Below are 15,396 nucleotides of genomic sequence, written 5' to 3'. Positions count from 1 at the left end.
AAATCCAATAAAAGTCCTTAATACGGCCCACCAGGCTCCATGGGATCAGTCCCTTGCCTGCCTGCCTGCCTAACCAGGTCTATTACTACCTCAGCACTCTAACTGCGGTCCGCGGACCAGCAGCATGGACGACACTGGGGACCGAGTCAGAAATGCAGAGGATCAGGCCTTCCCCAATGACCTGCTGAATCAGAATCTTTTAAAAAGATCTGTAGTTTCTTGTGAAAGTTTGAAAAGAACGACTTACTAGCTTCCACTTTATAAAGAGTATTTTATATTCCTCACCTGTGGGATATTGATCAGAGTGTGCTGTGGAGACCCGGTGAGTTCGAGGGGCTGGGGCTGGAACTGGGAGAAGAGACAAGTGAAACATCCCCGAGATGATGCAGCCGAAGGCGAGGCCGCTTTCGCAGCACTTGTATGGCCTGATGGCCCGGCCCACGGCTCCTGGCGTGCAGGAACAACCACTCGCAAGAACTGGAGCGGCTGTGGGCGATGAACGCGCTCCGGGCCCAGCACAGGCACACTGCGACCAAGCCGCCCAGCCGGGATTCGACGAAATATGCTCACAGGCGAGCAGCAAGGAGCGGGGCCTGCTTCTGGCCTGGAATGGGCGAAACGTGATGGAGGAAAGGGTTTCCGCTTCCGCCAAGAGTAGGCTGCGGCTCTCACCCGTGAAAGAGAGACGGGCCTGCCTGCAGTTCCCGGAGGATATCCGGTACCTGGCACACTGGCCAGTAGGAAAGTCACAGCAAATACAAAAATCTAATGTTTCAAATGCCCCTTATATACACAACAATTTTAAAACCATATAAAAGTGAATCTACTTGGCTATTAAAAATACATTTCAATCAACTCCAAGATCCAAGAGACTACAAAATGAAAACGAAATTTTTTAATTAAATGATTTAGGCAAGAAACTACCTATTCAAGTTATGAACCTTTGTGTTAAAAAAAATTAACAGAATTATCTCACCTCAATGTTTTTTATCTGAAAGTAAAAGGTAGCCCACATCCTCCTTAAGCATTAGGCACTGATAATAAAAGGCTGGGTGAGTTGGCAAGTACTTGTGGTCCCAGCTACCCCAGAGGGAGGCTGAGGCGGGAAGGATCTTTTGAGCCCAGGAGTTTTAGAACAGCCTGGGTGATCAAGCTAAACCATGACTAAAAAAAATTAAAAATAGGCCGGGCGCGGTGGCTTACGCGTGTAATCCCAGCACTTTGGGAGGCCGAGGTGGGCGGATCACGAGGTCAGGAGATCGAGACCATCCTGGCTAACACGGTGAAACCCTGTCTCTATTAAAAATACAAAACCTCAATCGGGCGCGATGGCGGGCGCCTGTAGTCCCAGCTACTCGGGAGGCTGAGCCAGGAGAATGGAGTGAATCCGGGAGGCGGAGCTTGCAGTGAGCCGAGATAGCGCCACTGCACTCCAGCCTGGGCAAAAGAGTGAGACTCTGTCTCAAAAAAAAAAAAATAATAATAATAATAATAATAAATAAAAAATAAGCTGGGAGCAATGGCCTATAATCCCAGCACTTTGGGAGGCTGAGTTGGGAGGATTGCTTGAGCCCAGGGGTTTGAGGCAGCCTGGACTGGACAACATAGTGAGACCCTGTCTCTACCAAAAAAAAAAATTAAAATTAAAAAATGAGTCAGGTGTGATGGCCTATGCCTGTAGTCCCTGCTATTTGGGAGGCTGAGGCAAGAGGCTTTCTGGAGTCCACTAAGTCAAGGCTGCAATGAGGTGAGATCACACCACTGCACTCCAGCCTGGGTGACACAGTGAGGCCCTCTGTCAGAAAAAAAAGTATAAATTTCAAAACATTTCTTTGATGTTGTGAATTTTTCTGGAATATTATACACGAGTTAATTTGGATCAGATTCCTGAATTACTTATATTTAAACCATTTCTCTACAGTGAGGACTGGGATGAGGAACCTTCAATCCATCAAAGTTATATATAAATCTATAGAGGTGACACTCAGGTCATTTCATCAGGAAATACTCATACCTTTCCACAGATACGGCATAGGGTATTAGTGCTATTCTTAGAAATTAATATACATTTTCAAGAAATGTGATTTTAATTCAATAGTATGTTTGCTCCATACACAGCAAATTGCCTCCTTCCCCAGCTTAAAATTTTTTTCCAGTTGTTTTGTCTTTACTTTCCCAAACAACGGTTTCATCTTCAATCACAATATTTCCTTCTTCCATCCTATTCCTATTTATTGCTCATTGTTTTTTGACATTAACTTATATAAACTAGTGTAATGATAAGTGTTTGGGTGAAATAGACATATTTGCTTTTAGTTAGATGCTATTCCTCTGCTCTGAAACATATATAATAGAACATTTCTATATCCACCAAAGCTCACATTCAAATCAGAAGTCAAAACAAAGACTTTCCCAGGTTTAAGCATACATACTAAGAGAACTTATTTCCAGCACACAAGCCTTACAAGAAAGACCAAAGAAAGTTCTTCAGTCTGACATCAAATGATGGCAAAAAACAAGAGAAAACAAAGATGACTATTAAAGAATATTATAACTATAAAAGACAGACTAAATGTGTATTTCTTCACCTGTAAAATAATCAGTTGATAGGTTGTTGGACCTACCACATATAAAAATGTAGTATGTGTGTATTTCATTTGCAAATAACACCATACAGGAAGTGGACAAACCCAGTGACTACCAATGGCAAAGTAATAATCCTAAGAATGTATTGTTATGTGTGGAATCTCAAGAGTTGTTATACATGTAACAAAATACCCCAAGAATGCAAAAATATGAAAGCTATAGTTGATAAATATTTTTGTACATCACTGAAAGTTAGCTATATATCACAAGAAAAGTGATGCTGATGGTAACGGGTTATCATTTACTTGATAAACAACAGAGTAATCACTACAAAAGGTAAGAACAATGATAATGAAAAATAATTCTACATGTAAAGACATTGGATGAAAGCAGAATTTACTGACCTTCTGAAGTAAAAATTGATTCTGCATAAATTCCATATTATTAGGGGGGTAAGATTTCCTTCATTCATCCTACTTTGAAGTTCTCTTGTTACAGCACATATTTCTCCTTCAACATCAGCTCTACTGGTAAAATTAGGAAATTCTTTCCTGTGCATGTAGTGACCCCTTCTGTCCATTTCTTGAACCTCCAGCCCAGGTAGAATTAAAGGTCAGTCATTCCACATTTTGTAGTATGTTTCCTCAATTTTCTGTAGTTAGGAAAATCTGTATCGCATTATTATTATTTTCAGTTTATCTTGCTTAATTCTCACAGTCTGGAAGATTTGTTCATGAACAAAACATTGCAATCCTTAACTTATGTTTATGAGTGTTCTTCAGGGAAAGTTAAAATTATAACTTCTAGACTGGGCGCGGTGGCTCATGCCTGTAATCCCAGCACATTGGGAGGCCGAGGCGAGTGGATCACGAGGTCAGAAGATCGACACCATCCTGGCCAACATGGTGAAACCTCGTCTACTAAAAATACAAAAATTAGCTGGGTATGGTGGCACATGCCTATAGTTCCAGCTACTCGGGAGGCTGAGGCAGGAGAATTGCTTGAACACAGAAGGCAGAGGTTGCAGGGAGCTGAGATCGTGCCACTGCACTCCAGCCTGGCAACAGAGCGAGACTCTGTCTCAAAAAGAAAAAAATAATAATTATCCCTTCTAAACAGATAACCGAAGGGTGTTAGCATACATCATGGGTGTGAAGTGACTGAGGACCATGAGACAGGATAGGTAGCCAAGGAAGTAACCATGTCCTGGAGACTTGGCAATCGTACAGTCAACACAATAAGCCTCAGCATTCGCATTGTAGTCAAGCTCATTCAAGCAAAGCTCTCTCCAGTAGGGAATTTCCCCTGTAGGGAGCACGCGTATTTTTATTTTACCTGTCTTCAGATTGACCCTTTGCTCATTATAATAGTAAAAACCACATCCCTGGGTGGAGATTTAAGATGCTAATGAGATGTGACGTATGAACAAGAATGGGCAGCTACTGTGCATGTGCACCCAGAAGACCACCCAGAATGTGCTTACTAGTAACACCTCTTCCCAGCCCCTTATGAATAATCATGTAAGATTCCCATAAAAGGAGTCTCTCGGCCAGGCGCTGTGGCTCACGCCTGTAATCCCAGCACTTTGGGAGGCCGAGGCGGGCGGATCACAAGGTCAGGAGATTGAGACCATCCCTGGCTAACACAGTGAAACCTCGTCTCTACTAAAAATACAAAAAGAAATTAGCTGGGCGCGGTGGCGGGCGCCTGTAATCCCAGCTACTCGGGAGGCTGAGGCAGGAGAATGGCGAGAACCCGGGAGGCGGAGCTTGCAGTGAGCCGAGATCGCACCACTGCACTCCAGCCTGGACGACAGAGCGAGACTCCGTCCAAAAAAAAAAAAAAAAAAGAAAAGAAAAGAAAAGAAAGCAGTGCCACAGAGTATCCTGAAACACACAGTGCCCTGAGGATGATGGAGGTGGCTCAAACCCTGTGCTTCACAGTTACCTCCAGGGTAACTGTGGTGCCATTTTTGTGTTGAATGGCTTTCCTCCAAGTCAAGCTGGCCTGACTGCACACACTGCGGAAAAGCCACAAGCATCCACTGTTTCACCTCACAAACCTAACCACTTTCCTTAATACTAGCCAGCCTCTGAAGGACTGTGTCTGGAATGTTCTGGAGTCTGTTGCCTCTCGGGCTATGCCCACCTTCCCCCTACCCCCTTCCTCCACAGCAGACTTGAAACCACTCAAAAGAGCTGAAATCTAACTATTAAAATTTTTTTAAAAAGTCTCCCTAGTGCCACTGTTTGCTGTCTCATCCTTATGAGCAGCCTGCCCTGAATCCTCCTCTCTCTCTCAGGGCATACTGTCTGTTCTGCACTTAACTTTCAAAATACTTTTTCGTTTGCAATAAATTGCCATATACTGCATCTCCATTGCTGTGTGTCATTTGAATCCTTTTAAACTAAAAAGGCAACAACCAATGTCTCACAACAGCCATCAACAACCAGATCAGGAGAGAAAAGGTGAGGCAGTTAAGTGAGCTATGCCTGAGCATCAACTCTAAAGGTGACATCAGAGTCAAAGCAAGCATGTGGAAACAGGTCCTTTATGGACAAGGAAAATGGAAAAACAGTGTTGAGGACAAGGAGGGATTGAACCAAGAACTGCTTGGTATGTTGGTGGTCCAGTGGGGTCTTTGCACTACTGTGGCTCCCCACTCTTTTAATGCCGGGTCTGTCCTGCAGACCCTGGCCAACGGATGAAATGAGGACTCAGACACAGGTATTCAGTGTAACAGCAACTAGGTGACTGCCTGGCTCTAGTGGCCAGAAAGCAGCCCCAAGAAGCTGGAGCTGCTTGCTTTTATTCAGTCTAGGCACAATGCCAAAAACCTGGAGCCAACACAACCTGTAGGTAATTAACACTTATTGTTCCCCTTTCAGGGAACGTCAGGCACAGGGATGATGAAAGGTCAGTTCCTGGTCAACACAAGTAAACAAGCCTGTTTAAGATAAATTCCCCCACACTCCCTTGTACCTACTCCATGCCCTCTGCCTCAGGGTTATAGAACAGCCACCTTCAGCTATTCTCCCCCAGGGCTCTGCAGAACCTTCCAACCTCTCAGAAGGTTTGCGTCCTTTCCCTATCCACCACTCTGACCAATCCCACGTATTTTAATGGTACTAAAATACAGAAAAAATACAATTTATCATCTTAACAATTTTTTGTTGTTGTTGTTGAGATGGAGTCTTGCTCTGTCTCCCAGGCTGGAGTGCAGTGGCACAATCTCAGCTCACTGCAACCTCAGCCTCCCGGGTTCAAGAGATCCTCCTGCCTCAGCCTCCTGAGTAACTGGGCTTACAGGCATGCACCACCATGCCCAGCTCATTTTTGTATTTTTAGTAGAGACGGGGTTTTGCCATTTTGGCCAGGCTGGTCTCCAACTCCTGACCTCAGGTGATCCACCCACCTCGGCCTCCCAAAGTGCTGGGATTACAAGCGTGAGCCACTGTGCCCGGCCCATCTTAATTTTTAAGTGTAGAATTACTGGCTTTCAGTACGTTCATATTGGTGTGCAGCCATCACCACCATCTATCTCCAGAACCCTTTTCATCTTGCAATATTGAAACTTTATGCCATTAAATCATAAGTCTCCATTACCCACTTCCCCTATTCCACACAATCACCATTCTACTTTCTTTATGAATTTGACTCCTCTGAGTACCTCATATAAGCAAAAACATTTTGGGTCTGGAGTTTAAGGAGCCCATGTCTGGAGACAGGTTGTAAAAAATCAAGTGACTCGACCTTATAAGGTGTGTCTTTATATGAATGGACTATTTCACTTAGCATAATGTGCTCCAAGTTCATCAATGCTGTAGCATTTGTCAGGTCACCCTTCCGTTTGAAGGCAGAGTAATAGTCTATCCTATGCATATACTACCTTTTGCTTATTCATCCATCTGTCAATATACAAGAGAGTTGCTTCCACATTTTCCCTATTGGTAAGTTATACTGCTATACCATGTATACAAATACCCATTTCAGGCCCCCGTCTCTATTCTTTTGCTTATATTCCCAGAAGGGAAAAATGGTGGATGTTATTTCCATTTTTTCAATGTATTGATTACCTGCCACACAGTTGTTTTTTTTTTTGTTTTTTTGTTTTTTTTTTTGAGATGGACTTTCGCTCTTGTTGCCCAGGCTGGAGTGCAATGGCGCGATCTCCACTCACTGTAACCTCCGCCTCCCGGGTTCAAGTGATTCTCCTGCCTCAGCCTCCTGAGTAGCTGGGATTACAAGCATGGGCCACCATGCCCGGCTAATTTTTTTGTATTTTTAGTAGAGATGGGGTTTCTCCATCTTGGTCAGGCTGGTCTTCAACTCCCAATCTCAGGTGATCTGCCCACTTCAGGCTCCCAAAGTGCTGGGATTACAGGCATGAGCCACCGCACCCGGCCTGCCATATAGTTTTCAAAAGTAGTTGTGACATTTTGCATTTCCATCAATAGTGTACAAGGGTCCTCACTATTCCACATCGTTGCCAGCATGTTATTTTGTTCTTGGACAGAAGCAAACTAATGAGGGTGAGGGGATATAGATGTCATTTTGCTCTTGATTTGCATGTCCCTAAACCATGAGTGATGCTGAACATCTTCTTTATGTAATTATTGTCTATTTGTACATCCTCATTAGAGAAATGTCTATTCAACTCCTTCACCTATTTTTTAATGGGGTTGTGCTTTATCCACCAGGGGCTCCTAAAACAAAATGACATAAGCTGGGTGTATTAAACACCTAACATTTGCTCCTCAGTATACAGGAGATTGTGAACTCCAAGATCAAAGTGATAGTAGATTCAGTGCCTGGTAAGGGCAAGCTTCCTTGTTCAAAGAAGGCTTTCATCTCATTGTGTCCTCACATAATAGAGAGCAAATGCAAGCTCTCTAGGGAACCTTATAGTCCCATTCCTGAGAACTCTACCCTCATGATCCCAAGTAATCCTAATTACCTCCCAGGCATCCTATCTCCTCATTCCATACATTAGGGAGTAAGGTTTCAAAATATGAATTTCAGGGCTGGGCGTGGTGGCGCATCTCTATAATCCCGGCACTTTGGGAGGCCGAGGTGCATGGATCACCTGAGGTCAGGAGTTGGAGACCAGCCTGACCAACATGGTGAAACCCTGTCTCTACTAAATACAAAAAATTAGCCGGGTACGGTGGCGTATGCCTACAGTCTCAGCTACTTGGGAGGCTGAGGCAGGAGAATCGCTTGAAACCAGGAGGTGGAGGTTGCATTGAGCCAAGATTGTGCCATTGCGCTCCAGCCTAGGCAACAAGAGCAAAACTCTCTCAAAAAAATAATAATAATATGAATTTCAGGGGACAAATAAAGCAATAATTTTCTACCTGCTCCCTAAATTTATGACCTCACATGCAAAATACATGCTTACCATCCTAACATCACCAAAAGTCTTGACTTGTTTCAGCATACTCTGAAGCTTAATATCAAAGTCGCTTCCAGGTCACCAGAGATAACATGGCCAAAACCATTGCAAGATGTGTTTGATGATTCAAAGAGAAAGAAAAAACAGCTTTTCCTATGACAACGTTTCCAACTAAAGCATCTGCAATTATGAAGACTGAAACTTCAGCAGGGTGCGGTGGCTCACGCCTATAATCCCAGCACTTTGGGAGGCCAAGGTGGGCAGATCATCAGAGATCAGGAGTTCAAGACCAGCCTGGCCAACATGATGAAACCCTGTCTCTGCTACAAATACAAAATTTAGCTGGGGATGGTGGTGTGCGCCTGTAATCCCAGCTATTTGGGAGGCTGAGGCAGGAGAATCGCTTGAACCTGGGAGGCAGAGGTTGCAGTGAGCTGAGATCGTGCCACTGCACTCCAGCCTGGGCGACAGAGACTCCATCTCAAAAAAAAAGAAAAAAAAAAAGGACTGAAAGTTCGATGCTTAAATATTTTCAGCCCTCAAACACCACAGATCCAAGATTTGTGTTACTGACCTTCCACCAAAGAGGCAACATCTGCAATCAGATGTTGGTTCTTCCAGCAGAGGATCCTCCTGATGTCCTGAAAGAAAATTCTGGCCGGGCAGGGTGGCTCATTCCTGTAGTCCCAGCACTTTGGGAGGTCAAGGTGGGCAGATCACGACGTCAGGAGTTCAAGACCAGCCTGGCCAACATGGTGAAACCCCATCTCTTCTAAAAATACAAAAATTAGCCGGGTGTGGTGGCGGGCACCTGTAATCCCAGCTGGTTGGGAGGCTGAGGCAGGAGAATCACTTGAGCCCAGGAGGTGGAGGTTGCAGTGAGCCGAGATCACACCATTGCACTCCAGCCTGGGTGACAGAGCAAGACTCCATCTCAAAAAAAAAAAAAAAGAAAATTCAAGTTAAACTGATGTCCCCTGACTTATCTACACTGCCACATATCTAAGCACCTCAACACACTGCAGCTTTAGGAACCACAGAGCAATCATCACATGAGGGTTATCAGGAGAGAAGAACCAAGGATTTGGAGAATGTTAACACGTGTTTTTGAGGCCATTAAATGAAACCAATCCAAAACGTTTTTTAAAAAAAAAAGAAAATGTTTCATTGTAGCTGACATATACTATGAGGTGGGCCTGTACTATGGAGGTGGGCATGTGATGGTTATCTGTATTAAACATCTACAGATGTTTTTTCTTGTCAGCATTCCCTAAATAACACAATGAAACAACTATTTTTATATCGTTTACAATGCATTAGGCAGTATGGATAACCTAGAGATGATTTAAAGTGTACAAGAGGATGTGCTTAGGTTCTAGGAAAATACACCATTTTATATAAAGCACTTGAGCATCTTCAGATTTAGATGTTCTGAAGTGGGGAGCGGGGTGCCTGCAACTAATCCCCTGAGAATACCAGGACATGACAGTATTTCAGAGAAACAGAAACTACACAAGGCGTTACCACATTTTTTACACTCATAGTTTCTCTCCAGAGTAAATTCTTTCATGTATCTAAAATAAACAAGGAGCATGGAAAACAAGAATCGTTTTCCATGTTCCTTACAGTTATGAGGTCTATCGCCAGCATGTCACACCATATGCCTTCAAACGATTGAGAGAGAAAGGAAAGGTTTCCCATGTTCCTAACATCATTGTTTTTCTCAAGTGTCAGTTCTTTCATGGTTTCAGAAGGTACTGGAATAGTGGAAGGCTTTACTTTTTTTTTTTTTTTTTTTGAGACGGAGTCTCACTCTGTCACCTGGCTGGAGTACAGTGGCACAATCTCGGTTCACTGCAACCTCCACCTCCCAGGTTCAAGCAATTCTCCTGCCTCAGCCTCCCAAGTAGCTGGTACTACAGGCACATGCCACCACGCCCAGCTAATTTTTGTATTTTTAGTAGAGATGGGGTTTTACCATGTTGGCCATGATGGTCTCAATCTCTTGACCTCATGATCCGCCCGCCTTGGCCTCCCAAAGTGCTGGGATTACAGGCGTCAGCCACCGCACCCAGCCGGCTTTACATTTTTTATATCCACACAACTTTTCTCCGTTGTGAGTCCTTTCATGTCTTTGAAGGGAACTGTGATAACAGAAGGCTTTCCCACATTCCTTACACTCAAAGTTTCTCTGCAGTGTGGGTAATTTTATGTCTACGAAAAGCAACAGGATAACGGAAGGCTTCCCCACATTCCTGACATTCATAAGGTTTCTCTGCAGTGTGGGTAATTTTATGTCTATGAAAGGTCGTGGGATGACTGAAGGCTTTCCCACAGTCCTCACATTCATACGGCTTCTCTCCAGTGTGAATTCTTTTATGTACTCGAAGTGAACTGGAATATCTGAAGGCTTTCCCACATTCCTGACATTCATAGGGCTTCTCTCCAGTGTGAGTCTTTTCATGATTTTTAATAGAACTGGGAAATCTAAAAGCTTTACCACATTGTTTACATATATAGGGTTTCTCTCCAGTGTGAATTCTTGCATGTTTTCTAAGGGAACTGGAACAATTAAAGGCTTTCCCACATTGCTTACATTCATAGGGTTTCTCTCCAGTGTGAGTCCTTTCATGATACTGAAAGGAATTGGAAGAAGCGAAGGCTTTCCCACATTGCTTGCATTCATAGGGCTTCTCTCCAGTGTGGATTCTTTCATGTTTTTTAATGGAACTGGAACAACTAAAGGTTTTCCCACATTGCTTACATTCATATGGTTTCTCCCCGGTGTGCATTCTTTCATGTCTATGAAAGGAGCTGGGAAAACCAAAGGCTTTCCCACATTCATTACATTCATATGGCTTCTGTCCAGTATGAGATCTTTCATGTGTGAGATATAAACTGAGATTATCAAAGGCTTTCCCACAAAACTTACATTTATAAGGTCCATCTCCACTGTGCACTACCCTGTATCTTCGAACGGTTTGGGGAGAATCGAAGGTTTTTTCCCATTCCTTACAATCATAGGGTTTCTCTCCTGTGTGAGGCTTTTCATGTGTTTGGAAGGAGTGGAGGCAGCTGAAGGTTTTTACACACTGCTTACATTTATGTGGCTTCTCTCCATGTTCCTGACACTCATACGGTTTGTGTCCAGTGTCAGCTCTGATGTAGCAATTCAGAGATGAATGATCCACGTTGCCTTCTCCACACACACTGCTTTCACATGGTTTTACCCCAGGAAGAGTGTTCTTGTTCATTATACCATCTGGAATCAGGCTGAAAGTTTCTCCACATTGACCATCTTTACATTCACAGAGTCTCTCTGCCATATGATTTCTATAAAAAATAAGAAGCACATTACAAAGAATTTGTTGATAAATAATTTTATATTAGCAAGCATTTGATTTGCATATTTTACATTATCATGAGAAATGTAGGCTTTATGTTCTGTCTGAAGTGTCTGACAGTGAGTGGACTGAATTCTCTGCAAAGGGGCTCTATTACAGCTATTATCAAAACAGTGATGTTACTAGGCAGTTTCTTTTTTCTTATTCTTTTTTTTTTTTTTTTTTTCCTGAAACAGGGTCTCACTCTGTTGCGCAGGCTGGAATGCAGTGGTATGACCACAGCTCGCTGCAGCCTCCACCTTCCAGGCTCAGACAGTCCTCCCACCTCAGCCTCCCAAGTAGCTGGGCCTACAGGCATGCGCCACCAGGCTTGGCTGATTTTTTTTATTTCTTGTAGAGATGAGTTCTCACTGCATTGCCCAGGCTGGTCTCAAACTCCTGGGCTCAAGCAATCTTCCCATTCAGACTCCCAAAGTACTGGGATTACAAGCATCAACCACCACATCTGGCCACTATGGGGTTTCTTTATTTTTTTATTTTATTTTATTTTTGAGACGGAGTTTCACTCTGTCACTCAGGCTGGAGTGCAGTGGCACCATCTCGGCTCACTGCAAGCTCCACCTCCTGGGTTCACGCCATTCTCCTGCCTCAGCCTCCCAAGCAGCTGGGACTACAGGCGCCCACCACCATGCCTAGCTAATTTTTTTGTATTTTTAGTAGAGATGGGGTTTCACCATGTTAGCCAGGATGGTCTCGATCTCCTGACCTCGTGATCCGCCCTCCTCAGCCTCCCAAAGTGCTGGGATTAAAGGCGTGAGCCACCGCACCCGGCCACTATGGGATTTCTTAATACTGTTTCCAAGGCAACTATTTTGCAAACAATGAATGTGTATGTATTTAAGTATATATTTTTGGAGAAAACATTCTAAAAATTAACAAATTTGAAGCTGGGCTGCTTCACTTTGTTTGCTTGTTCTTTAAATTTCCACTGGGCACAGTGGCTCATGCCTGTAATCCTAGCATTCTGGGAAGCCAAGAAAGGAGGATGGCTTGAGTCCAGGGGTTCAAGGCTGCAGTAAGCTATGATCATGCCACTGCACTCTAGCCTATGTGACAGATTAAGCCTTGTCTCAGATACATGAATACATAAGTAAATAAATATAATTTCCTATCACTCTAACATTATCTCAAGGGACACAGCTTCATGTTATAAGTGCAAATTACCTTGGATTTCTCCTGGAATTTTTGTACTGATCTTCAATGTTCCGGTCTTCCCATTTTATTCCTAAAATGTAGACCCATAAAAGTCATGATAAATGATTACAAAATTATAGAAACATTTTAGATTCTATGTTCATGGGACACTGTGACCATGCCTGACTTATTCACCAAAATATTATTGACCCTTGAACAAAATGGGCTTGCATGGCACAAGTCCACTCATATGCAAACTTTTATCAACCTCTGCTGCCTCTGAGGGAACAAGACCAACCCCTCCTCTTCAGGCTACTCAATGTGAAAACAATGAAAAGGATTCCTTTAGGATGATCCACTTAATCAAGTCAATATGTTTTCACTTCCTTATGATTTTCTTGATAATATTTCTTTTTTCTAGCTTACTTTATTATAAGAATACCATATATAATAGACCAAACAGACCAGGCATGGTGGTTTATACCTATAATCCCAGCACTTAGGGATGAGGTGGGAGGACTGCTTGAGGCTAAGAGTTTGAGACCAGCCTGGGCAACATAGCAAGACCTCCATCTCCACAAAAAATAATTTAAAAATCAGCCCAGCATGGTGGCACTTGCCTACAATCCTAGCTACTCAAGAGTCTGAGGCAGGAGGATTGCTTGACCCCAGGAGTTCTAAGTTGTATTAAGCTATGACCATGCCCCTACACTCCAGCCTGAGTAACAAAGTGAGACACTGTCCTAATATACACTTACACATACACACCAACACACAAAATATGTATTAATTGACTGGTTATGTTACTGATAAAGCTTCCAGTCAACAATAGGCTATTAACATTTAGCTTTTTTTCTTTTTATTTGAGACGAAGTTTCACTCTCGTTGCCCAGACTGGAGTGCAGTGGCATGATCTCAGCTCGCTGCAACCTCCACCTCCCAGGTTGAAGCAGTTCTCCTGTCTCAGCCTCCTGAGTAGCCAGGATTACAGGTGCCTGGCACCATGCTTGGTTAATTTTTTGTATTTTTAGTAGAGATGGGGTTTCACATTGGCCAGGCTGGTCTCAAACTCCTAACCTCAAGGGATCCACCCACCTCGGCCTCCCAAAGTGCTGGGATTACAGGTGTGAGCCCCTGCACCCGGCCAACAGTTAACATTTTATAGAGTCAAAAGTTAAAACCAGATCATCAACTGTGCAGAGGTTAAGAGTCTCTGACACCCACTTTGTTCAAGGGTCTACTGTATTCTTTTTTTTTTTTTTTTTTTTTTTTGAGACGGAGTCTCGCTCTTTCACCCAGGCCAGAGTGCAGTGGCGCTATCTCGGCTCACTGCAAGCTCAGCCTCCTGGGTTCACGCCATTCTCCTGCCTCAGCCTCCCGAGTAGCTGGGACTACAGGTGCCCGCCACCACACCCGGCTAATTTTTTTTTGTATTTTTAGTAGAGATGGGGTTTCACCATGTTAGCCAGGATGGTCTCAATCTCCTGACCTCATGATCTACCCACCTCGGCCTCCCAAAGTGCTGGGATTATAGGTGTGAGCCACCATGCCCGGCCTTACGGTATTCCTTTTTTTTTCAGATGGAGTCTTGCTCTGTGGCCAAGGCTTGAGTGCAGTGGCACAATCTTGGCTCACTGCAACCTCTGCCTCCCAAGTTCAAGCAATTCTTCCACCTCAGCCTCCTGAGTAGCTGGGACTACAGGCGTGCACTACCACGCGTGGCTAATTTTTGTATTTTTAGTAGAGACGGGGTATCATCATGTTGGCCAGGCTGGTCTCGAACTCATGACCTCAAGTGATCCACCCACCTTGGCCTCCCAAAGTGCTAAGATTGCAGCCGTGAGCCACTGCATCAGGCCAGTCTACTGTATTCCCTACCATGTTTCAAATCATTGAGCAGTGTAGATGACCAAGAAACACTTGTTCTGTAATTGACTAAGTGAAGAAATGATGTCATCCTTACCTACAGACATCAGGTTCCTGATGATTTCCCACATCACATCTCTGTAGAGTTTCTTCTGGGACGGATCCAGCAAAGCCCACTCCTCCTGGGTAAAGTTCACAGCCACATCCTCAAAGATCATTGAGTCCTGAAACATCCCACATGGCAGAGGAGGAAGGTTCAGGCTGACAGCACTAGGAAGCTACACTCTAGAGGAAGTTCACACAATGCTATAGACTCCAAACATTTATTCAATGATTTGGTCATCAGACTCTTATCCTCTGTCTATACTCATTTTCTCCAGCACAGCAATTCTGATGCTAGAATTGAACACATTCAGTAAAGTAATAGCCAATACGGACAAGCCTCTCATTCATGATTTCAGGGAGTTGAGATATGCTGCCCAGATCACCTCTAGTGTCTTTCTGTCTAGTGGGTCTATACTAACTCTCGTGACAAAGTCCTACTATGTGTTGTCTACAAGAGACAATATTAGCAGCTCTAAGACAACATATCCCTACACACGTTTATTTAGAAAGTTGAACTATGATGGTATCTCAGAGCTAGATTTAAGGAGAGCTGCACCAGCATAACAAAGAAAAGGAGCTGTGTGCCTCAACTATTTATTAAAACAATATGATATTTGCCACTGGGCATAGTGGCTCACACCTGTAATGCCAGCACTTTAGGAGGCTGAGACGAGTGGATTGCTTGAGCTCAGGAGTTCAGGACAAGCCTGGGCAACATGGTGAAACCCCATCTCTACAAAACATACAAAAATTAGCCAGGCATAATGGCGCATGTCTGTAGTCCCAGCTACTAGGGAGGTTGAGCTGGGAGGATTGCTTGAACCCAGGAGGTAGAGGCTGCAGTGAGCCATGAGTGTGACACTGACCTCCGGCCTGGGTGACAGAGCGAGGCCCTGTCTCAAATTA

The 15,396-nt window shown here is 43.9% G+C and overlaps 1 pseudogene; it reads right to left on the bottom strand.

The window, feature by feature from the left end:
* ZNF887P (zinc finger protein 887, pseudogene) lies at positions 10,807-14,619 on the bottom strand (annotated as a pseudogene).

This window comes from Homo sapiens, chromosome 19 (assembly GCF_000001405.40).
Source record: "Homo sapiens chromosome 19, GRCh38.p14 Primary Assembly".
NCBI lineage: Eukaryota > Metazoa > Chordata > Mammalia > Primates > Hominidae > Homo > Homo sapiens.
The sequence above is the reverse complement of the archived record's forward strand: the minus strand, read 5'-3'. Positions and strand labels throughout refer to the sequence as shown.